The 23,815-nt window shown below is 38.3% G+C and overlaps 1 long non-coding RNA gene and 1 other non-coding gene across 2 annotated transcripts in view; one reads left to right on the top strand and one right to left on the bottom strand.

Moving 5' to 3' along the window:
• Positions 1–23,815, top strand: part of LOC124902009 (uncharacterized) — a 66,420-nt gene that overhangs the window by 14,406 nt on the left and 28,199 nt on the right. The gene's annotated exons all lie outside the window — the stretch shown is intronic.
• LOC124900266 (small nucleolar RNA SNORA32) lies at positions 13,435–13,556 on the bottom strand. Its single transcript, XR_007061204.1, has one exon. It is a non-coding gene; the product is annotated as a small nucleolar RNA SNORA32 (small nucleolar RNA).

Below are 23,815 nucleotides of genomic sequence, written 5' to 3'. Positions count from 1 at the left end.
AGCACCCAACTTAATTTTTGCATATAGTAAGTGCTCAGTAAATATTTGTTGAATGAATCTAGCCTTATCTGTGTTATATCTAGCAATTTTCCTTCAAAGTTTCTGTCCTGTAGATGGCATCCTTCCTTAATTTACAGAGGTGACATGGGTTTTTATCTCATACTGAAATTTTACATGAATGTTCTGGGTCTCAATTTCCTCATCTGTAAAATATGGGTTTATTATATTAGTAAGATCTATCTCATAGGTAGTATATTAGGATGTTCTTGCATTGCTATAAAGATATACCTGAGAGTAGGTAATTTACAAGAAAAGAGGTTTAATTTGCTCATGGTTTTTCAGGCTGTGCAGGAAACATCATGCCAGTATCTGCTTCTGGGGAGGCCTCAGGAAGCCTTTACTCATGGTGGAAGGTGAAGAGGGAGCAAGCATCTCACATGATGAGAGCAGGAGCAAGAAAGAGAGAGGGGGAAGGTGCCACCACTTGTAAATGACCAGATCTTGTGAGAACTCCCTATCACGAAGAAAGCACCAGCCATGAGGGATCTGCCCCCATCATCAAAACACCTCCCACCAGGTCCCACCCCCAGCATTGGGGATTACAATTCAACATGAGATTTGGGTGAGGATAAATACCCAAACTATATCATTCTACCCTTGGCCCCTCCCAAATCTCATGTCCTTATCACATTGCAAAATACAATCATGCTTTCTCATCAATCCCTCAAAGTCTTAACTCATTCCAGTGTTAACTCGAATGTTCAAAGTCTCATCTGAGACAAAGCAAATCCCTTCCACCTATGAGCCTGTAAAATAAAAAGCAAGTTAGTTACTTCCAAGATACAATGGGGGTATAGGCACTGGGTAAACCATTCCTGTTCCAAAAGAGAGAAATTTGCCAAAAGAAAGGGGGCTATAGGCCCCACACAAGTCTGAAATTCAGCAGGGTAGTCATTAAATCTTAAAACTCCGAAATAGTATCCTTTGATTCCATGTCCCACACCCAGGGCACACTGGTGCAAGAGGTGGGCTCTGAAGGCCTTGGGCAGCTCTGCCCCTGTGGCTTTGCAGGGTAAACCCCCTCAACTGCTCTCACAGGTTGTTAAGTGCCTGTGGCTTTTCCAGATGCAGGGTGCAAGCTGCTGGTGGATTTACCATTCTGGAGTCTGAAGGATGGTCGCCTCCTTCTCACATTCCTCCACTCTGTGTGGGGCCTCCAATCCCACATTTCCCACCCCCACCCCTCACTGCCCTAGTAGAGATTTTCTGTAGGGACTCTGACCCTGAAGCAGGCCCCTGCCTGGGCACCTGGGATTTTTCATACAACCTCCAAAATCTAGGCAGGGGCTGCCAAGCATTTTTCACTCTTGTACTCTACACACCTGCAGGCCTAACACCACATGTAAGCAGCCAAAGCATACAGCAGCTTGCAGTCTCCAGAGTGGTGACATAACCAAAACCTAGGGCCCTTTGAGCCACAGCTGGAGCTGGAGTGGGTGGGATGCAGGGAGCAGTGTCCTGAGGCTGCGCAGGGCAGCAGGGTCCTGGGCCTGGCACATGAAACCATTCTCCCCTCCTATGCCTCTGGAACTGTGATGGGAGGGGCTGCCTAGAAGATCTCTGAAATTCCTTTGAGGCTTTTTCCCTGGTATCTTGGCTATCAGCATGTGGCTCCCTTTTAATTATGCAAATATTTCTAGCAAGTGATTGCTACACAGGAAGCTTGAATTTCTCCCCCCAGAAAGCTTTTTCTTTCTCTGTCACATGGCCAGGCTGCAAAATCTCTAAACTTTTATGCTCTGCTTTCCTTTTCAACAGAAGTTCCAACTTTAAGTCATTCCTTTGCTCCTGTATCTGAGAATAGGCTGTTTGAAGCAGCCAGGCAACATCTTAAACACTTTGCTGCTTAGAAAGTTTTTCTGCCAGATACCCTTAATCATCACTATGAAGTTCCAGCTTCCACAGAGCCCTAGGGCAGGGGCACAATGCAGTCAGGCTCTTTACTATGGCATTACATTTATGAACTTTGCTTCAGTTACCAGTAAGTTCCACATTTCCATCTGAGACCCCAGCAGCCTGGACTGCAACTGCTCATTTCACTGTCAGCATTTTGGCCACAACAATTTAACCAGTCTCTAAGAAATTCCAAACATTCCCTCATCTTCCTGTCTTCTTCTGAGCCCTCCAAACTCTTCCAACCTCTGCTTGTTACCCAGTTCTAAAGCTGCTTTCACATTTTCAGGTACCTTTATAGCAATGCCCCACCTCTTGGTTCCAATTTTCTGTATTAGGCCATTCTTGCCTTGCTATAAATAACTATCTGAGACCAAATAATTTATGAGAAAAGAGGTTTAATTGGCTCATGGTTCTGCAGGCTGTATAGGAAACATAGTGCCAGCATCTCCTTCTGGGGTGAGGAGTTCTCAAAAAGATTTTTTATTCATGGTGGTAGGTGAAGGGGGAGCAGGTACTTCATTTGGTAAAAGCAGGAGCAAGAGAGAGAGAGAGCTGGTGAGAAGGTGCCACACACTTTTAAATGACCAGATCTTGCTAAAACTATCACAAAGACAGCATCAAGCCATGAGAGATCTGCCCCCATGATCAAAACACCTCTGACCAGGCCTCATGTCCAGCATTGGGGATTACAATTCAACATGAGATTTGTGTGGGGACAAATATCCAAACTCTATCAGATAGTGTGAGATGTCAATCAAATAAAACATGTAGGCCAAGTACAGTGGCTCACGCCTGTAATCCTAGCGCTGGGGAGGCCAAGGCAGTTGGATTGCTTGATCCCAGGAGTTTGAGACCAGCCTGGGAAACATGGCAAAACCACATCTCTACAAAAAATTAGCTGAGCATGGTGGTGCATGCCTACAGTCCCAGCTACTCAGGAGGCTGAGGTGGGAGGATGGCTTGGGCCTGGGAGGTTGAGGCCGCAGTGAGCCATGACTGTGCCTCTGTACTCCAGCCTGGGTGACAGAGCTAGGCCCTGTCTCAAAAAACGAACACACACACACACACACACACACACACACACACACACACACACACACGTAAAGCACTTCGGTGGCTGTCTTAATCATTAATTAGTACCCATTATTAAATGTAATCACTAATTTTATTGTTACAGTCATTATTTCAGCCTTGAGATTACATGTCTTCATGTTATTGTCTTGGCCAGAAATATTTCCATTTGTATGGGGCATTGACAGCTTGAAGGACACCAAGCACCCATCTTAATTGTATCCAAGTCCTTTGAGAAGCTAGCCCTTCCCAATCCTGAATCTAAGTGTTTTGAGTGAGATGCCTAGTCCAGTGGCAGGGTAGCCACCTTAGAGGCTCGTGTGAATACTCATGTTTCATCCTCCCTGATTATATTGGGCCAGGAAGTCCAACCAGGGCTAATAAAATGCACAATAATTTGAGAGTTTTTGGAAAAGAAAAATAGCTTTGTCTTTCCTCTATGGAAACTACATCAGGACACAATCACTTTCCCCTGCGATAGTGTGAGGTGAGGCTGTGAGATTTGTATTTGTGAAAGACACTGTTGCTACAGGGGGAGCTGAGAGAGCCTTTATGGGAAGACTGAGCCATCAAGCAGAGTACCAAGGGAAGAGATGCTGAAGAATTGACTTCTCGGTGATATTTTTTGAGCTCCTGGATAAAACCTGTCTGAAAGTTGTTATGTTCTAGATATTTTCCATTATGTGAGCTAGCACATTTCATTCATTGTTTAAATGAGTTCAAGTTGGGATTTTGTTATTTGTAATACAAATCCTTGTTGATATACAATTTTCATCAAGAATGTGATTTATCTTATGTGAAGTATACATTGGCAGAAATAGAATTACTCTTTCAATATTCTTATCTAGAAATTCCTTTGCTAGGCTAATCAATGGATATTATGCCAGTAAGTACTAAATATATTCATTTATTTCAGTGTAAGTCAAACTCTACGACAATATAGTCTTTTGAAAAATCAATGTCTCTCTTTTAATAATTAGGCTGTGATTCTCATTGGCTATTTCTGGGTAAATTATTTCTACATACAAATTAGTTTTTATTCTACAGTTTATTTCCCTTTTAATGTAAAATAAGAACATTACAGAAATCTATTTTAATCACTTCAGAAAGCTGAGTTCAACACTTTGCTATTTAATATCTAATATTTAATTTTTATATTCCCATTATATTCAAATTTTGAGAGATCATAATTTTTATTACTCACAGAGGGAACATTTGAGGTGGAACGAATTTTGAATCAGTTACGACTGGGTTCCAATCTCAGTTCTGCTACTTACTAACTAGCTCAGTGAACTCAGACTAGTTATTTAACTCTGAGCCTCAGTTTATTTACTTACTATTTTCAAATAGGGAGTGATACTATAATCTTCCAGAGAGACATGCAGTGAGGAATACTGAGACAGCATACTTAAAGCTTTTATACTAAGGCATCTAAAAGCCCATAACCTGTATTTTCTTTTCTTTTCTAATTAGTACATTTAGATTTGTCCCCCAAAATGTTTACTGTGAAGACATGCCAAGCAGATATATTGTTCTATGCATTAAAAATATTAAATGTTTGGTTGGGCTGGGTGGTTGACACTTGTAATCCCAGCACTTTGGGAGGCTGAGGTGGGTGGATCACCTGAGGTCAAGAGTTCGAGACCAGCCTGGCCAACATTGCAAAACCCTGTCTCTACTAAAAATACAAAAATTAGCCAAGCATGGTGGTTTGCACCTGTAATCCCAGCTACTCAGGAGGCTGAGGCAGGAGAATCACTTGAACCTGGGAGGCAGAGGTTGCAGTGAGCTGAGATTGTGCCATTGCACTCCAGCCTGGGCGACAAGAGTGAAACTCCATGTCTCTCTCTCTCTTTCTCTCTCTCACTCTCTCTCTACATATATATATAATGTTTTTCTTTATTTACTAGATTCTAAACACTCTGTGGGAAGGGGCTAATTGTATTTAGATTAGATCTTGTTCAATGCTAATTTGATGTCAGGTTTATGAATTACTTCAAATAGTGTATCTATGAATGGTTGTAGGAATACCCACATTTCTTACCACACTATGCATTTACAATTATGAGGAGTATAGAAAGCTATCGAATCCTTCTCCTTACCATAATATCCATACATCCATTTACTTGTATATTTTTCTAGTTTTAGCTGGAGAGCTTCATTTATTTTTTAACTTCATTTTATTTTGTGTTGCTGTTAGCTCATAATAAGAAAATTGAAAAAATATGTGTGCAATCATACTGCAAACTGTGACCCATCCATTTAATGTGAGCTGAGACAGAAGCAGCTCCTCATTAGTTTTATTCTCATTTTTGAAGGCTTCTTAACATTTGGATCCCATGTCTGAAGGAAGAGTTTTGTTCTTCACAATTTTTTTGGTATCAATGTCTTGAATGGTTTTCATGTAAAATAAATTTTGCTCTTCCCCTGGATCTCAGTCCTAACTTTGACAATCAGAAACCATTTTGAAACCTTCCAATTACATACCTTGCCCAGTGGCCTGATGGCCATGACCTTTTCATGCCAGTTGGATCCTTCCTCAGTTCCCAGCTGGAGGGTGAGCCGGAGTAGCTAAGAAACCTTCTCAAACAGAAGGATAAACATATCCACATTTGAATTTGTCTGAATACTAGTATAATTACATGAATGACTTAGCTATCCTTTTTACTGAGTTGAATTCAGGAGGGAGAAATAATGCCCTGGAAGTTAGTGAAGACAGAAGTAGGGAAACAAGATATTACCCAAAATCATCTGAGATATCCCTTTATATGGAAAGATAGTCACAATTTGTTACCAAGAGTCAAGGGGGCATGGTGGTTAAAATCATGGGCTCTTGTGTCTTCTGGGTTTGAATCTAGATCTGCCACCTATTAGCTGTGTGATATTGGAAAGCCTCTGTGCCTCTGTGAAGTGGAGAAAACAAACAGGACCTACTTCATGGGCTCTTCTAAAGAGAGGTAAACATAAATAAGATAATAGCACTTATAACAGTGCCTGTCATAGTGTAAATGCTCAAAAATGTAAGCATGTAAGCTTTGGTTTGTATTGTGTCTCTGGGAATTTAATTTAATGATATTAACAGATATCATTTAACAGATATTTCAAATAAATAAATTCAAATTATGTTGATGAAATACCAGGTAAACATAATTTTAGGGTTCTAGTAAATTTGATCAAGTGGAAATCAGTGAGAAGATATTTTATAATGATATATATTAATTGGAATTATGATGGTTGGATCACACACAAATTTTTCAGGAATCTTCACTTCAGAAATTTCTTCATAAGCACAGAAAAAAGTATACTTTACATATATGGCCTAAAGGAAAAAGCGACAAATGCATTTGATTTCCAAAGCAGTGCTTTTGTTATTTCCCCAAAAATTAAATCTGAAGGCCGCTTGAGCTATTCCCATTCTCTCCTTACCTCTTTCTTAACCAAGGTTCTTGAAAGAATCGTGTCTACTTGAGGTTACAACTTATCACCTACAGTTTTCTCCTGGATTCGCCATCACCTCATTTCACTGCTTCTCAGCAGCTGTTTTGTGGAAACCATTTGAAAGCCTGAACTGCTAAAAACCCCAACAATTCCTTCTTAGTTTTGACTGATTGATGCTTCAGACCATCAGGCCATGTTTGCTTTTCTTTTCTTCCTGAAGCTCTTCCTCTCCCTTGGTTTCCTTATTCCTACCTTTTCCAGCATCTCTATGTACTTCTTAATCTTTTCAGATGTCCTTTTTTGCAGTTATGTTTTCAATTATATTATTCAGAATTTGTTTCTTGAACACACTGTTACACTTGCTCTTCATTAATTTTATCCAAGCCAAAAATTTCAAGTAATACCTAAATTGTCTCAATTTATGTCTTAGTTGCTTATATTTCTGTCTCTTAGATACCATGGTGCCCCATAAAAATCTCAAGGTCAATATGACCCAATCTAAAACTTATTATTTTTCTTCCCCCTCCAAAGATACTTCTCAATAATCCTTATTTACATGTATAATTCTATCATCAATATGCTCACCTAAGTCAGAAACTTTGAAAACATACTAGTCTTTCTTCTCCACAACTCCTAGTATTTCTCATTGGTTCCCAAGACCAATTGATCTAGCTTTTAAATGACTTAACTCTATCCTTTTCTTCATACCAAGAGCCCTTGTCCTTAGTTTTCATTGTTCCCATATTTTGCTTGCATTATTAACACAATTTATATTGTGGAGTTAGGAAGTAATACAAAGGTAACTGAAGAACATTGAATTATTGGAGAAAAAGAAACCTATATAAGGAGAATCTCTAACATAATGTGAAAAGAGTGTGGTAAGTTGGCATCTGGTTGTTTGATAAATTTTACCATAAGATGAAATCTAAGGCTGCTGATTATTGAAATGTGATATTCCAAAGGTCAGATGATAATTTTGAGGAAACAGTGATGTTTGAATATTCCCAAGGGATTTTCTGTTCTACTGAATACCTGTGCCACTTAATTCTGTCTCAATTTAATTAATTTAAAAAGTGTTTATCAATTATACACTAAAAATTTGGCAGGCATGTATGCAGAGCTGAAGCCATCATCTTTCTCCCAGACTAACCTCTGTTTTCCCTGTCTTGGTAAGTGGTACCTGCAGAAGGCCATTCTACCACCCTAGAAACCTCAAAATTTTCCCTGCTTTCCCATCCTAGAATCTTCACTTTGATTCCCTATCACCCACAGCTTAGTTCAAGGCTTGCTATTCATTTTCTTGAGAGCAGTGGTCACATTTTTGTTGATATTGGTTCTTTAGCACTCTGCATGACATTTACTATTTTTACATAAATATTTGTTCATTTGCATTTTAAAATCCTAGACATTGCTATCTATGGTCTGGACTATTCCAATAACCTTCTAACTTTATACTGATAGCATTTTTCCCAGTTCAACTCACCCTTTATGTTGCCAACACAGTTATCTACCTGAAAACTGAAATAAATCTGTCCTTGCCTCCACTGGCTTTCAATGGCTTCAAGCTCAAAGTTCAATATCCTTCACTGGCTATTCCAGGCCTTTTATAACTGGTTCCAATTTACATTCACAGTCACATTCTTGTCACTTTCCTTTCTGCATCTATCTTCCTTCCTTCCTTTTTTTTTTTTTTTTTTTTTTTTTGACATTGTCTTGCTCTGTCGCCCAGGCTGGAGTGCAGTGGCACTATCTTGGCTCATGGCAAGCTCTGCCTCCTGGGTTCATGCCATTCTCCTGCCTCAGCCTCCTGAGTAGTTGGGACTACAGGCATGCACCACTATGCCCGGCTAATTTTTGTATTTTTAGTAGAGACAGGGTTTCACCATGTTGGCCAGGTTGGTCTCAAACTTCTGACCTCAGGTGATCCACCCGCCTCGGCCTCCCAAAGTGCTGGGATTACAGGCGTGAGCCACCGCGCCTGGCCCTTTCTGCATCTTATGCCCCAGTTACTTCTTGCCATTCCTCAAATAAGCTAGGCCTTCCTTCATGTGTTTCTGTACAAGCTGTTCCGTTTGCAAAGAGGCTGTTTTCCCTTAGTCCACCTGGCAAATTTCTCTGAACTCACAGGTCACCCAGGCAGCTGGCCTTTCCTTCACAGCCCTGTGTCGTACCTCTATGGTGTATAACTCACGTTGCCTATTTACCCCATACTTTGTGAACATCTGGAAAGCATGAATTTTTATTTATTCACTTCAGAATTTTCTGAACTTTTTGTATAGTGGGTGTGTAGTTGTTCCTAGGAAAGATTTATTAAATGAATAATCAAATCATAAGATGACTATTTTAAGTTATGCACAGATTTTAATATCTTACACAATTATGCATAAGTACATTTTTACAGTTTTGTTTTTTTCTCTAGTCACAGAGATGTTTATGTGAGTTCTACAGAAAAAATAAAGAAACATTGTAATCGTGCAAGATTTCAATTGAGATATTTAGTGACCCTGTTATCTAGGCACTCTAGGCTCTGAAAGGAAGAAAAAAGAGAGAAAGAAGAAAGAGGAGGAAGGAAAGAAAAGCGAGAGAGAGAAAAAGAGAGATAAAAGTAAGATTAAACAAAAAGGGTAGAAAAATGATAAACTAGCATGGGCATAAATATGAACTGGCTCCAATAAACGAGACCTTTTATCATGAAAGTTCTGAGTTTTGTCTCGTTAGGGGCCATTCCACAGTGACCCAACCCACTTTTTCATCCACAACTTCAACTTTGCTCAATCAATCAGCATAATTAATCATTACTAAGGATGCTTCTTTGGTTTCTTTTCTGTTTGTCATTCTCCTCTTTCCTTTGTTAGGATACTTTAACCCTTTATTCATCCTCCTCTATCAAAATCCTACATAAGCACTCAAGATGTCACCACCTCCAGAAAGACTTTCCTGATTCTCTCACTGAATGAAAATTTCCTTTTCTCAACTCATCTAACACTTGCACCCCTTTTAAGGCCCTCGTCACAACCTGCCCTCTACTGTGGTTATTTGTATACTTAGCTTATCTCACCTATTAGGGTTTAAGCTTCTTAAGTTCAGGAAAAGCCTCTCATGTCTCTCCTCCCCTCTTTTATAGAAGTGCGTGCTATAGTTTTGACATTCAATAAGTATTTCCAACATAAAATGGAAACAGGTCATGGGCCTTGATACAGTTTGGATATTTTCACCACCCAAATCTCATGTTGAATTGTAATCCCCAATGTTGGAAGTGGGGCCTGGTGGGAGGTAAGTGAACCATGGGGCTGGATTTCTCATAAATGGTTTAGCACCATCCCTTTGGTGCTGTTCTTGTGATAGTGATTGAATTCTTGAGCGATTTGGTGGTTTAAAAGTGTGTGACATATCACTCCCCACTGTCTCTCTCTCTCGCTCCTGCTTCCGCCATGTGATGTGCTCGCTTTCTGTCTGCATTGCTTCTTAGAAGTTGGGAAATGTCCATGACGTGCTTGTACAGCCTGCAGAACTGTAAGCCAATTAAACCTCTTTTCTTTACAAATTACTCAGTCTCAGGTATTTCTTTATAGCAATGCAAGAATGGCCTAATACAGGCCCTGTTTGGCATTAATAAGCGTCTTGGGGCCTGAACTATCAGATAAATATATGTCTCTGCCTTAATCTGTGCTAAATTTTATGCAATGTCTCTGTCTTATTTCCACTTAGGACTAAAAATCTGTATTTCAGGGCTATTAAAGAATATATTATTAAAACAATAAGAATACTTGTAAAGATTTTTGAAGTACCAATCTTCAGACTTCTTAGCCCTCAAACATTATAATATTGAAAGAGACAATACGTTATTTTGTCAGGAGCACAGACTCTGGATCTAGATCTACTTCGGTCTGAATCCTGGCTCTGCCACTTAAGAGCTGTGTGACCTAAGTAAGATCCTTAACTCATCTGTTCCTCATGTTTAGTAACTATAAAACAGGAATAATAACAGTACCTATCTTATAGGGTTGATGTGAGAATGAAATGCGCTAATGTATGTAAAATACATAGGATAGTATATGGCACATGGTTAGTGTCTAGTAGATTTTAGCTATTACTTTACTATTATTATTTGCTCTCAGTTGCATATGTCTGCTCCCCCCAACCCCCACTCCAAAAGCATGAGCTTCTGAACAGTCAATACCCCATTTTCTCAGACTTTGTATTTCAAGTGACTCGCACAGTCACAGTGCCTGCTACAGAGTAAACACTGAAAGAGAAGAACCTTGAAGAAAATTCTTCCTTGCCCTAGAGGTGAACCTGAACTTGCATGCTCCCTGCCATGGGTATCCAAATAACTTTCTTTTCTTGCTCCCATCAACCTCATATTTAACCCTGCTGGTTTTCATTTATTTTATAATTCAATCATAATGAATTTTAAAATCCATTCTAACTTCCAGGGATCTCTAGAGACTTGCTTCCTCAGTCTGACATCACATTCATTTACATTTCTTATTTTTTTATTTCCTTGTATGAGGTCTAAGAACTGTTCCAATAAAACGCTTTGAAGATTGCATTACACATACTGTGTGCTATTTATTCCTGGCTAGATGTTCAAATTGACAAGCAAGAAATTGCTTATGCCTTGATCAACGATTACAAATGGTAATGCTGTATCTGTTATAATAGAAAAAAAAAAACTGGACTGTTCTTTTGTAAACTTCTAAGCTAATAGTTGAAATGGAAAATGTATGTACAAAAAATAGCCAATTCAAGTTTAGGTAAATGTTAGAGACCATCCAGCTTTATCACTTTCCCAAGATGGTAAGTTCTTCTGTATCCCCATGATAAGTCCTCATCTGTCTTTTGCCTGTATTGTCCCAGGATGAGTGAACACATTACTTTTAAAGTTCTCTTCTGCCTTTGGCGGGCAAGTTTAATTGGTAGGCAATTGTTTCTTGTAGTACTCTTAAAAACAATATAGGGTAGAAAAAAATCACCATCTTCCATGATGGCATTCAAATATTTGAAAACAGGTATTTTATTTCTTGACAAGTTATATATCAATAGATTTTACTAATGGAGCTCAAGAACTTTTAGACCTGGATGGCACATAAACATAATTTAATCCTATTATTTTGCAGATAAGGAAATAAAAAATGAGAGGTTCAGTAAATTGCCCAGTTTCACTCATTTGTTCATTCAGTTATTGGGTACTTAGCAACTGGCTTAAGAAATTCACACATGAAAGTTCATTATAACATATACAATTTTATAATTTACCATAAAGAATAAACTATGGACACATTTATAATTTAGTATATAAATAATGTTGAAGACCTTGGTGAGCCACAGCTAATCCATTCTCCTCCCTCCATCCCCAGAGGCTACTGCTAATCTATGTATGTTATTTAACATTCAAACATATTGTATCAGTTAGTGTTCCAGCAGGAAAGCAGAACCACTTTGAGTGATATGAAATAAGGGATGTGTGATGGAGATTAGGTTTTACATGATTGTAGAAGCTGTCGAAGAAGTGAAAGACTATTGCCTCTGCCTCTGGTCATGGGCCTGAAATTACTATAGTTTAGTAAGGTCAGTAGTGAAGAAGACAAGATAGACATGAAGTGGGGCAGAGTGAGAATAAAATGGAACATAAGTCAGTATTTCACTGCCTCCAACCTCAATGATGAAGGTAATGTAAAAGAAGCTGGGTACCCTTTGCCATGGAGCAGCACACACACTTGGCATTGTACTCAGAGAAGCTGAGGGAGGATCTGTGGACCTGGAAAAGCTGTGCACCTAGAGAAGCTGCATGCCTGGAGAAGCTGCAGGCCAGGCTGCTGCTCTATGCCAACAAGGCCAGCAACAGTCACAACAATGTGAATGAGATGTAGTGGCTTCTTTTTACACTGACCTTTGGAGTGTACACTTTTACACTGACCTTTGGAGCAAAATGTCTGTTTCTTCTCTTTTGCCTTTCAAAGCATTTGGAATATCACCTGCCATCAACCGTGACTTACTACATGTATATGCATCCATAAACAATACGTGAAATTGTATTTCATGTTTTCAAGCTTTCCATTAATGGCATCATCTATCTGTCCTACTGTAACATTTTCCCGTTTCATGTTATGTTTGTGAAGTTTAACTATGTTGATAATTATTGTTGTTATTTGTGTTTTGTTTTATTTTGCATAGTATTGCATTGAAGAATTTCGCACAGTTTCTCTATTCTCCTTGATCAATATTTAGATTGTTCTCAAATTTTCAATAGTCAATCAATGCTGCAACATTTTTGGACATGTCTTTTGGAGCACTTAGGTGAGATTTCTCCAAGCTATAGAATTAAAAATACCTTATTTGATCATAGATTCTGTACCTCTTCAGTTTTACTAGTTATTGCCAGTTTACTTCTGAAAATTGTAACAATTTACACTTTCACCAGCAGTGTTTGACACTGGTGCTTCTCAATGGAGGTGGGGGGTGATTTTGCCCTCTAGGTGACATTTGGTAATGTGTAGAGATATTTTAAGTTGTCACAACCAGTGGGGGTGGGGTCATTCTATTGACATCTAGTGGGAAAAGGCAAGGAATATACTGCTAAACATCCTTTTCTTTCTTTTTAAATTTCTAGATAACAATCATATAAACATAAGTTTACATTTCCAGAGATGTTCATATAATGAATATGAATGAGTCTTGGAACCAGCCTCCCTAAGTTAGCTCCACTATATACAAACCACTTGGTTATTAGCAACCCAGAAGGGTTACAATGTGTATTCACCAGGCAAAGCACATTTGCAAGGCTCAAGAGATCTATGCACGTAGTCTTGTCAGGGAGAATTTGAAATGCAGCTGTTGTAAAATCTCATTGATTATCAATGAAATAGCTATTAGAAAATCACCTGTGGCTTGTGTTGTATTTCTATTGGATACTGCTCATCTAGGTAATGGAAGCAAAACAAGTAGCAGTTTAATAAAGGGTTAATAAAATGTTCCCAATAGACTGCTTGCTAGCAAGGTAACAGATAAAAAAATCTAGTGGGAAATTATTTTATGGTCATTTCCCTGGCAAATGAGAAACTGCATTCTAAAAATCTTGGTAATTACCATTTGCTAAACATCCTACAATGTGCGGGACATCCACCACACTACAGAATTATCTGGCCCCCAGTGACAAGTGTCCAGCTTGGGAAACACTGCTTTACCTCTTTGCAGTGGGCACTGTCATTGTTTTATAGTTTGGCCAATCTGATGAGTGTGAAATAATATCTAATTGCTTAAATTGTTCATTTCATTGAAGTTTAAAGTGTTTTTCAAATGTTTATATTAGCGATTCAGATTTTCTTATGGATTTTCTGCTCATATCTTTTGACTACTTTTCTATTGATTATTTTGTTATTGATTGTGTCTGTGTGCGTGCGTGTGTGTGTGTGTGAGTTCTTTATATATTTTAAATACTCAGTTTTTTGGATACATGCATTAAATGTATCTTTTCCAAGTCTTGGGCTTGTCTTTTTATTTATGCTTTTGTTTTCTATTTTTTTGAAAATGTATTTTAAAGTTTATTGTGACAAATCAATTAATCCGTGTAGCTTGTGATTTCTTGTATCTCGTATCTACAATTTATAAAGCTGTTTTCTTTCTAAAGTTTCTTAAGTAGTGACTGTTATTACTTCATTTTCACACTGCTATGAAAAACTACCTGAGATTTGGTCATTTATAAAGAAAAGAGGTTTAATTGAATCACAGTTCTGCATGGCTTGGGGGGCCTCAGGAAACTTATAATCATGGCGGAAGGTGAAAGGGAAGCAAAGTACATCTTACATGGTGGCAGGAGTGGGGCAGGTAGTGGCACACATTAAAACCATCAGCTCTTGTGAGAACTCACTCACTATCACAAGAACAGCAAGGAAGAAATCCACCCCCATAATCCAATCATCTCCCACCAGGACCTTCCTCCAACATGTGGGGATTACAATTTGATATTAGGTTTGGGTGGAGACACAGAGCCAAACCATATCAGTGCCTTTCATATTTTAGTTTTTCATCAACCTGAAATTTATTTTTTTGTATGTAATAAAGTAGAAATTGGATTTTTAAGATATGAATAATAAAATATCTTGAGAACAAATTTCTGGTTATTTTCATCCTTTTTGAAATTTTCATTTCCATTTATTTCCTTGACAGCCCTTTTTCTCATTATTATTTTAAAAATATTTCTCTGTTGTGTCTGTTTCCATCTGTTCAAAAGAGTCTTTCCTTTGCTCTTTAAATTTTTGCAATTTCTGTGGTTTACTCTTACTCCTTCTTTCTCTCCTTATATGTTCATTCTAGATAAATATTACTACTATGATTTACATCTCTAGTCCAGCTCTGTCTTTTGAAAGCCATTCCTATTTGTGCCCCCTAGATACTTCTACCTCAGTGACCACAGATACCCTACAAACAGCATTTACAAAACTACATTCATTATTTTTCCCCTGCTCCTTTTTCTATTTTCCCATTTTTATGGCTGTTCCATTGATCATCCAGTCATCCAACAATGGGTTCATACTGGAACCACAGACTCAATCGAAACTCATAGAACATTTATCCTATCATATCATTGACTGGCTATCAAGGAGTTAGATCCCAGTTTTAGAATTGTGCATTCCCTTCTTCTTAGATTATTTAGGTTGATCATTGTCTTTTGCGTTTTGGTCTAAAGCCCCAAAATGAACAGCTCCAATCATTTGCCACTTAAGCAAGAGATTCTTTCTACCACCAACAAAAGGATTTATTTCTAAATGGTACCATATGAGTCAGCTGAAGAAAAGGTTCCAGTACATCAACAGTCAGGGTCCCATCCAGCACTCCCTATTCTCTGAATTCTGTGTAGTTGTTTTGCATGCAGCATTTAACATCTGCAGGTCATCCAAGGTTGGGGCTCACTAGCAGAGATGACCTACAGATGTCTTCCCTCACCCTATTGACTCCAAGCAATTTATTTGTGTGGCTCAATTTTATATACTATATTGGACTGTGGCTTAGACTAAAAATGGCACCATGCTAGTTTCAACATCTGAAACATTTGCTCCTTTAACCACTCATAAATGGAGCATGAGTGGTGAAACATGAGAATGTAGTGCTTACATTGTTCTGAAGGTGAAATGAGATGATTACGAAGCGCTTTGCTCACTGAGAGGCACATAGTCAAGTACTTAATGAATTGTTGCAAATATTATTATTGTTGCACCTACAAACTCTTACTGCTTTTGATTGTGTATCTTACCACTAAACTAATACGCCTTTCTCAGATAAACTCTGTGGCTGATTTAGTCCTATATCCCCGAAAGCCTAGCTTAGAGCCTGACCAATAAAAGGTATTCAATAGTTGGGGATTTAAATGAATTATAAGTATCAGTGCCTTATTGAAAATGAGTTTATAAGACACTTTCCTGGGAGCAGTTTTAGTAGAAGGGGAGGGAATGGATGAGGAGACTGGGTACATGAGAATGAAGGGGGCACCACCATTGGGAGAAAAATAGCCAAATGTCTACCATATTGTGTGCATGAACTCAGATATTAGATCTTAAGATGCTTTTGATTTATTCTGTACTCAGTATTGGTACAGTTTGCTAACAATTTGGAAAAATAGAGTATATCCCTATTAAACATCATATAGTAAAATGGATTCCAGATAGATTAAATGGGTAAATGGAAAAAATACAACCATCAAATTTTAAAGGAAAATAGGGAGGGATGAATGTGTGACCTTGGAGCAACATTTTCTCTTTTTCTTTCTTTCTTTCTTTCTTTCTTTCTTTCTTTCTTTCTTTCTTTCTTTCTTTCTTTCTTTCTTTCTTTCTTTCTCTCTCTCTCTCTCTCTCTCTCTCTTTCTTTCTTTCTTTCTTTCTTTCTTTCTTTTTTTTTTTTTTGAGACAGAGTCTAGCTCTGTTGCCCAGACTCGAGTGCAGTGGTGCGAGCGTGGCTCACTGCAAGCTCCGCCTCCTGGGTTCACCCCATTCTCCTGCCTCAGCCTCCCGAGTAGCTGGGACTACAGGCGCCCGCCACCACGCCCAGCTAATTTTTTGTATTTTTAGCAAAGATGGGGTTTCACCGTGTTAGCCAGGATGGTCTCAATCTCCTGACCTCGTGATCCCCCCGGCTTGGCCTTCCAAAGTGCTGGGATTACAGGCGTGAGCCACCGCGCCCAGCCTGGAGCAGCATTTTCTAAGCACGCCACCCAAAAAAGGGAATTGATAAAAGACTTACTCTTACAAAAATAAGAAAAAACCTGCCCTATTTAAAAATATTAATGAACGAAAGAGAAAAACAACTTGTAATGCTACTTGCAAAATATATTCTTTTTTTCTTTTCTCTTTACTAGGTGTTAATATTCTTAACATGTGAGATACTCCAGTAAGTTAGGATGAAAAATATAGAGAAACCAATCAAAACATGGATCAAGGGCATAGATATCCATTTCAAAAAAGAAGGATGAATCACCAATACAAATATGAAAAAAGTTACAATCAATAATTTAAAAATTGTCGATTAAAATATAATTTTTGCTTTTTAAGTTGACAAACATTAAAAAAATCACCAGCAATTTTCCATTTCCAGGGTGCACACTTTGTTATAAGCTGAGTAGGCTCTGGAAACCTCATGTACAGCATGGTGGCTATGGTTAATAGTAATGTATTGTATGCTTGAAATTTGCTAAAGGAGTATATCTTAAGTATTCTTACCACAATAAAAAGAATGTAACTATATGAGGTGACAGATATGTTAATTAGCTTGATTGTGGTAATCATTTCACAATGTATACATATATCAAACCATCATGCTGTACACTTATATATATATATACAGCTTTTATTTGTCAATTATATTTCCATAAATCTGAGGAAAAGATCACCAGTGTTGATAAAATTTTGGAAGCAACACCTCTATGTACCACAGGTTATACATGGGTACCACTTTCTGGAAAGCAATTTGACAATATTCATCAAAAACCAAAAATGTGTACTTATGCTTTATCCCAGGAATTTCAATTCAAGGAATTTATAATTTGTACCCAAAGTTTTAACTGTAAGAACCTTAATCAAAGTGTGGTTTGTAAGTGGAATTACAATTCTATTTCCCAAATGACTGTGGTGGTCATGATGCCATTCGTATTTTAGTTATCTTGGGTCTTACTAAGGTCGCTGTGAATCATTACAAGATATTTTGGTTTTATACCTCAGCACCAAGAGCTTGGATAATTTGAGTCTTCCCCTGAGATATATCTAAGTTTATTGAAAGTAAACATGTTTCTGAGCCTACAAGTCTCAGACTGCAGATGCTGAATTACGGCAAATTTTCTTGTGTAATAGATTCCACTTAGAGAGACCTCTTAGGAGACAGCCAGATTCCCCCAGATGACAGATTCCTCTACTTCTCCATCTTGGCAGCAAGGATAAAATTTTTCTCGATTGTATCTTCTACAGTATATATCAATTTTCTATTGCTATTAGAACACGTTACCATAAACTTAGCAGCTTAGACCAACACCCACGTATTAGCTCATCTCTGCAGGTCAAGAGTCTAGGGGAGCTCAGCTGGGCTTCCTCCTTAATGTCCCATAAGGCAGAAATCAAAGTGTCATCAATGCTGGGCTCTTATATGGAGGCTGTGAGGAAGAATCCATTTCCAAAGACATTCAGGCTGTTGGCAGAATGCAGTTCTTTACAGCTGAGTGATTGAGGTCCCTTTCTTTTTTGACTCTCAGCCAAGGTCACTCTCAGCTCCTCAAGGCTGGTCCTTGCAGTGCCCCTATTCATCTTCAAAGCCAGCAACAGCACAACAAATCCTTTCCCTATGTGGAATCTTTTTACTTTCTACTACCAGTCAGATAAATACTCCAATTTAAAAAGACTTGTGTGATTAGATTGGGCCTGCTAGAATAATTTTTCCTTCAACTAACTCAGAGTCAGCTGATTGGTAACCTCTAACTACATTTGCAAAATCTCTTTACATAATCATTTTCACAGTCCTGGGAAGTAGGGTAGAAAATCTTGGGCAGGGGGTTGCATTTTGGAATTCTACTTACTGCAACATAAGTTGTATTACTCTTGACTCTGACTGTTGATACAAAATAACGATAAAATTATAGAATGTAGAAATTAATCATGCTGTGCAGAGGTTATGAGTACTCATTGCTACCATTTGGAATCATGGGGGTAGACAGGTATCAAAAGTGTGAGGCTGGCTAGGTGGGAACTGGGGAGAGTTAACACTGGAAGATTATTGCCATGGAGGAAAATGGTTCAGTTTTGCCAAATCTTTCGTGTTTCCAAGACATTATATATATATATGCACACACACATATATCTTTTATGTATATATAAGATATATATATATATATATACATACACATATATCTTTTGTGTACATATAAGATATATATAAAATCTTCATTTGTAAGAGTTTGTAACTAGTCTATACTTTTAAACACATTGCAAAAAAATTTACAACATATGTATATTTAATTATACTTTAAGTTCTGGGGTACATGTGCAGAATATGAAATTTTGTTACATAGGTATACATGGGCCATGGTGGTTTGCTGCACCCATCAACCCATCATCTATGTTAGGTATTTCTCCTAATGTTATGCCTCCCCTAGACCCCCACCCCCTGACAGGCACCAGTGTGTGATGTTCCCTTCCCTGTGTCCATGGTTCTCATTGTTCAACTCCCACTTATGAATGAGAATATGCGGTGTTTTGTTTCCTGTTCTTGTGATAGTTTACTGAGAATGATGGTTTCCAGTTTCATCCATGTCCCTGCAAAGGACATGGACTCATCCTTTTTCATGGCTGCACAGTATTCCATGGTGTATTTGAGCCACAGTTTATTTATCCAGTCTATTATTGATGGACATTTGGGTTGGTTCCAAGTCTTTGCTAGTGTGAATAGTGCTGCAATAAACATATGTGTGCATGTGTCTTTAGAGTAGCATGATTTATAATCCTTTGGGTATATGCCCAGTAATGAGATTGCTGGGTCAAATGGTATTTCCAGTTCTGATTGAGAAATCACCACACTGTCTTCCACAATGGTTGAACTAATTTACACTCCCACCAACAGTGTAAAAGCGTTCTTATTTCTCCACATCCTCTCCAGCATCTGTTGTTTCCTGACTTTTTAATGATCACCAGTCTGACTGGCATGAGATGGTATCTCATTGTGGTTTTGATTTGCATTTCTCTAATGAACAGTGATGATGAGCATTTTTTCATATGTCCGTTGGCTGCATAAATGTCTTCTTTTGAGAAGTGTCTGTTCGTATCCTTTGCCCCCTTTTTAATGGATTTTTATTTTTATTTTTATTTTTAGTAGAGATGGGGTTTCACCACATTAGCCAGGATGGTCTCGCTCTGCTGACCTCGCGATCCACCTGCCTTGGCCTCCCAAAGTGCTGGGATTACAGGCATGAGCCACCACACCTGGCTGATTGTTTATTTTTTTCTTGTAAATTTGTTTAAGTTCTTTGTAGGTTCTGGATATTAGCCCTCTGTCAGGTGGCTAGATTGCAAAAATTTTCTCCCATTCTGTAGGTTGCCTGTTCACTCTGATGATAGTTTCTTTTGCTGTGCAGAAGCTTTTTAGTTTAATTAGATCCCATTTGTCAATTTTGGCTTTTGTTGCCTTTGCTTTTTGTGTTTTAGACATGAAGTCTTTGCCCATGCCTATGTCCTGAATGGTATTGCCCATGTTTTCTTCTAGGATTTTTTTGGTCCTAGGTCTTATGATTAAGTCTTTGATCCATCTTGAGTTGATTTTTGTATAAGGTATAAGAAAGGGGTCCAGTTTCAGTTTTCTGCATATGGCTAGCCAGTTCTCCCAACACCATTTATTAAATAGGTAATCTTTTCCCCGTTGCTTGTTTGTGTCCAGTTTGTCAAAGATCAGATAGTTGTAGATGAGTGGTGTTATTTCTGAGGCCTTTGTTCTGTTCCATTGGTCTGTATCTCCGTTTTGGTACCAGTACAATGCTGTTTTGGTTACTGTAGCCTTGTAATATAGTTTGAAGTCAGCGTGATGCCTCCAGCTTTGTTCTTCTTGCCCAGGGTTGCCTTGGCTATGCAGGCTCTTTTGTGGTTGCATATGAAGTTTAAAGTAGTTTTTTTCCAATTCTGAGAAGAAAGTCAGTGGTAGCTTGATGGGGATAGCATTGAATCTGTAAATTACTTTGGGCAGTATGGCCATCTTCATAATATTGATTCTTCCTTTCCATGAGCATGGAATGTTTTTTCATTTGTTTGTGTCCTCTCTTATTTCCTTGAGCAGTGGTTTGTAGTTCTTCTTAAAGAGATTCTTCATATACCTTGTAAGTTGTATTCCTAGGTATTTTATTCTCTTTGTAGCAATTGTGAATGGGAGTTCACTCATGACTTGGCTCTCTGTTTGTCTGTTATTGGTGTATAGGAATGCTTCTGATTTTTTTCATATTGATTTTGTATCCTGAGACTTTGCTGAAGTTGCTTATCAGCTTAAGGAGATTTTGGGCTGAGATGATGGGGTTTTCTAAATATACAATCATGTGATCTGCAAACAGAGACAACTTGACTTCCTCTCTTCCTATTTGAATACCTTTTATTTATTTCCCTTGCCTGATTGCCCTGGCTGGAACTTCCAATACTATGTTGAATCAGAGCGGTGAGAGAGTGTATCCTTGTCTTGTGCCGGTTTTCAAAGGGAATGGTTCCAGTTTTTGCCCATTCAGTATAATATTGGCTGTGGGTTTGTCATAAATAGCTCTTATTATTTTGAGATCTGTTCCATCGATATCTAGTTTATTGAGAATTTTTGGCATGAAGGGGTGTTGAATTTTATCAAAGGCCTTTTCTGCATCTATTGAGATAATCATGTGGTTTTTGTCATGTGGTTCTGTTCATGTGATGGATCACATTTATTGATTTGCATATGTGGAACCAGCCTTGCATCCTAGGGATGACGCCGACTTGATAGTGGTGGATAAGCTTTTTGATGTGCTGCTGGATTCGGTTTGCCAGTATTTTATCGAGGATTTTCACATTGATGTTCATCAGGGATATTGGGCTGAAATTTTCTTTTTTTGTTGTGTCTCTGCCAGGTTTTGGTATCAAGATGATGCTGGCCTCATAAAATGAGATAGGGAGGATTCCCTCTTTTTCTAGTGTTTGGAATAGTTTCAGAAGGAATGGTACCAGCTCCTCTTTGTACCTCTGGTAGAATTCAGCTGTGAATCCATCTGGTCTTGGACTTTTTTTTAGTTGGTAGGCTATGAATTACTGCCTCATTTTAGAACTTGTTATTGGTTTATTCAGGGATCTGACTTCTTCCTGGTTTAGACTTGGTGGGGGTGTATGTATCCATGAATTTATCCCCTTCTTCTAGATTTTCTAGTTTATTTGCATGGAGGTGTTTATAGCATTCTCTGATGGTAGTTTGTATTTCTGTGGAATCAGTGGTGATATCCCCTATATCATTTTTTATTGCATCTATTTGATTCTTCTCTCTTTTCTTCCTTATTAGTCTGGCTAGTGGTCTATTTTGTTGATCTTTTCAAAAAAACCAGCTCTTGGTCTCATTGATTTTTTTTGAAGGGTTTTTCGTGTATCTCCTTCAGTTCTGCTCTGATCTTAGTTATTTCTTGTCTTCTGCTAGATTTTGAATTTGTTTGCTGTTGCTTCTCTAGTTCTTTTAATTTTGATGTTAGGGTGTCAATTTTAGATCTTTCCTGCTTTCTCTTGTGGGCATTTAGTGCTATAAATTTCCCTCTACACACTGCTTTAAATGTGTTCCAGAGATTCTGGTATGTTGTGTCTTTGTTCTCATTGGTTTCAAAGAACATCTTTATTTCTGCCTTCATTTCGTTATTTACCCAGTAGTCATTCAGGAGCAGGTTGCTCAGTTTCCATTTAGTTGTGTGGTTTTGAGTGAGTTTCTTAATCCTGAGCTCTAATTTGATTGCACTGTGGTCTCAGAGACTGTTGGTTATGATTTCCATTCTTTTGCATTTGCTGAGGAATGTTTTACTTCCAATTATGTGGTCCATTTTGGAATAAGTGTGATGCGGTGCTGAGAGGAATGTATATTCTGTTGATTTTTGGGGGAGAGTTCTGCAGATATCTATTAGGTCTGCTTGGTCCAGAGTTTAGCTCAAGTCCTGAATATCCTTATTAACCTTCTGTCTCATTGATCTGTCTAATACTGACAGTGTTAAAGTCTCCCACTATTAATGTGTGGGAGTCTAAGTCTCTTTGTAGGTCTCTAAGAACTTGCTTTATGAATCGGGGTGCTCCTGTATTGGGTGCATATATAATTAGGGTAGTTAACTCTTCTTGCTGCATTGATCCCTTTACCATTATGTAATGCCCTTCTTTGTCTCTTTTGATCTTTGTTGGTTTAAAGTCTGTTTTATCAGAGACTAGAATTGCAACCCCTGCTTTTTTTGCTTTCCATTTGCTTGGTAGATCATCCTCCATCTCTTTATTTTGAGCCTATGTGTGTCTCTGCACGTGAGATGGGTCTCCTGAATACAGCACATTGATGGGTCTTGACTCTTTATCCAATTAGCCAGTCTGTGTCTTTTAATTGGGGCATTTATCCCGTTTACATTTAAGGTTAAAATTGTTATGTGTGAAGTTGATCCTGTCATTATGATGCTAGCTGTTTATTTTGCCCATTAGTTGGTGCAGTTTCTTCATAGTGTAAATGTTCTTTACAATTTGGTATGTATTTTCAGTGGCTGGTACTGGTTGTTCCTTTCCATGTTTAGTGCTTTCCTCAGGAGTTCTTGTAAGGCAGGCCTGGTGGTGACAAAATCTCTCAGCATTTGCTTTGTCTGTAAAGGATTTTATTTCTCCTTCGCTTATGAAGCTTAGTTTGGCTGGATATGAAATTCAGTGTTGAAAATTCTTTGCTTTAATAGTGTTGAATATTGGCCCCCACTCTCCTCTGGCTTGTATGGTTTCTGCAGAGAGAGCTGCTGTTAGTCTGATGGACTTCCTTTGTGGGTAACCTGACCTTTCTCTCTGGCTGCCCTTAACATTTTTTCCTTCATTTCAACCTTGGTGAATCTGACGATTATTTGTCTTGGGGTTGCTCTTCTCGAGGAGTATCTTTGTGGTGTTCTCTGTATTTCCTGAATTTGAATGTTGGCCAGCCTTTCTAGGTTGGGGATGTTCTCCTGGATAATATCCTGAAGAGTGTTTTCTAACTTGGTTCCATTCTCCCTGTCACTTTCAGGTACACCAATCAAATGTAGATTTGGTCTTTTCACATAGTCCCATATTTCTTGGAGGCTTTGTTCGTTTTTCACTCTTTTTTCTCTAATCATGTCTTCTTTCTGTATTTC

The sequence above is a fragment of the Homo sapiens genome, chromosome 8 (genome assembly GCF_000001405.40).
Source record: "Homo sapiens chromosome 8, GRCh38.p14 Primary Assembly".
Lineage (NCBI taxonomy): Eukaryota > Metazoa > Chordata > Mammalia > Primates > Hominidae > Homo > Homo sapiens.
Note: the sequence above shows the minus strand (reverse complement) of the source record. Positions and strands in the feature narration are given on the sequence as shown.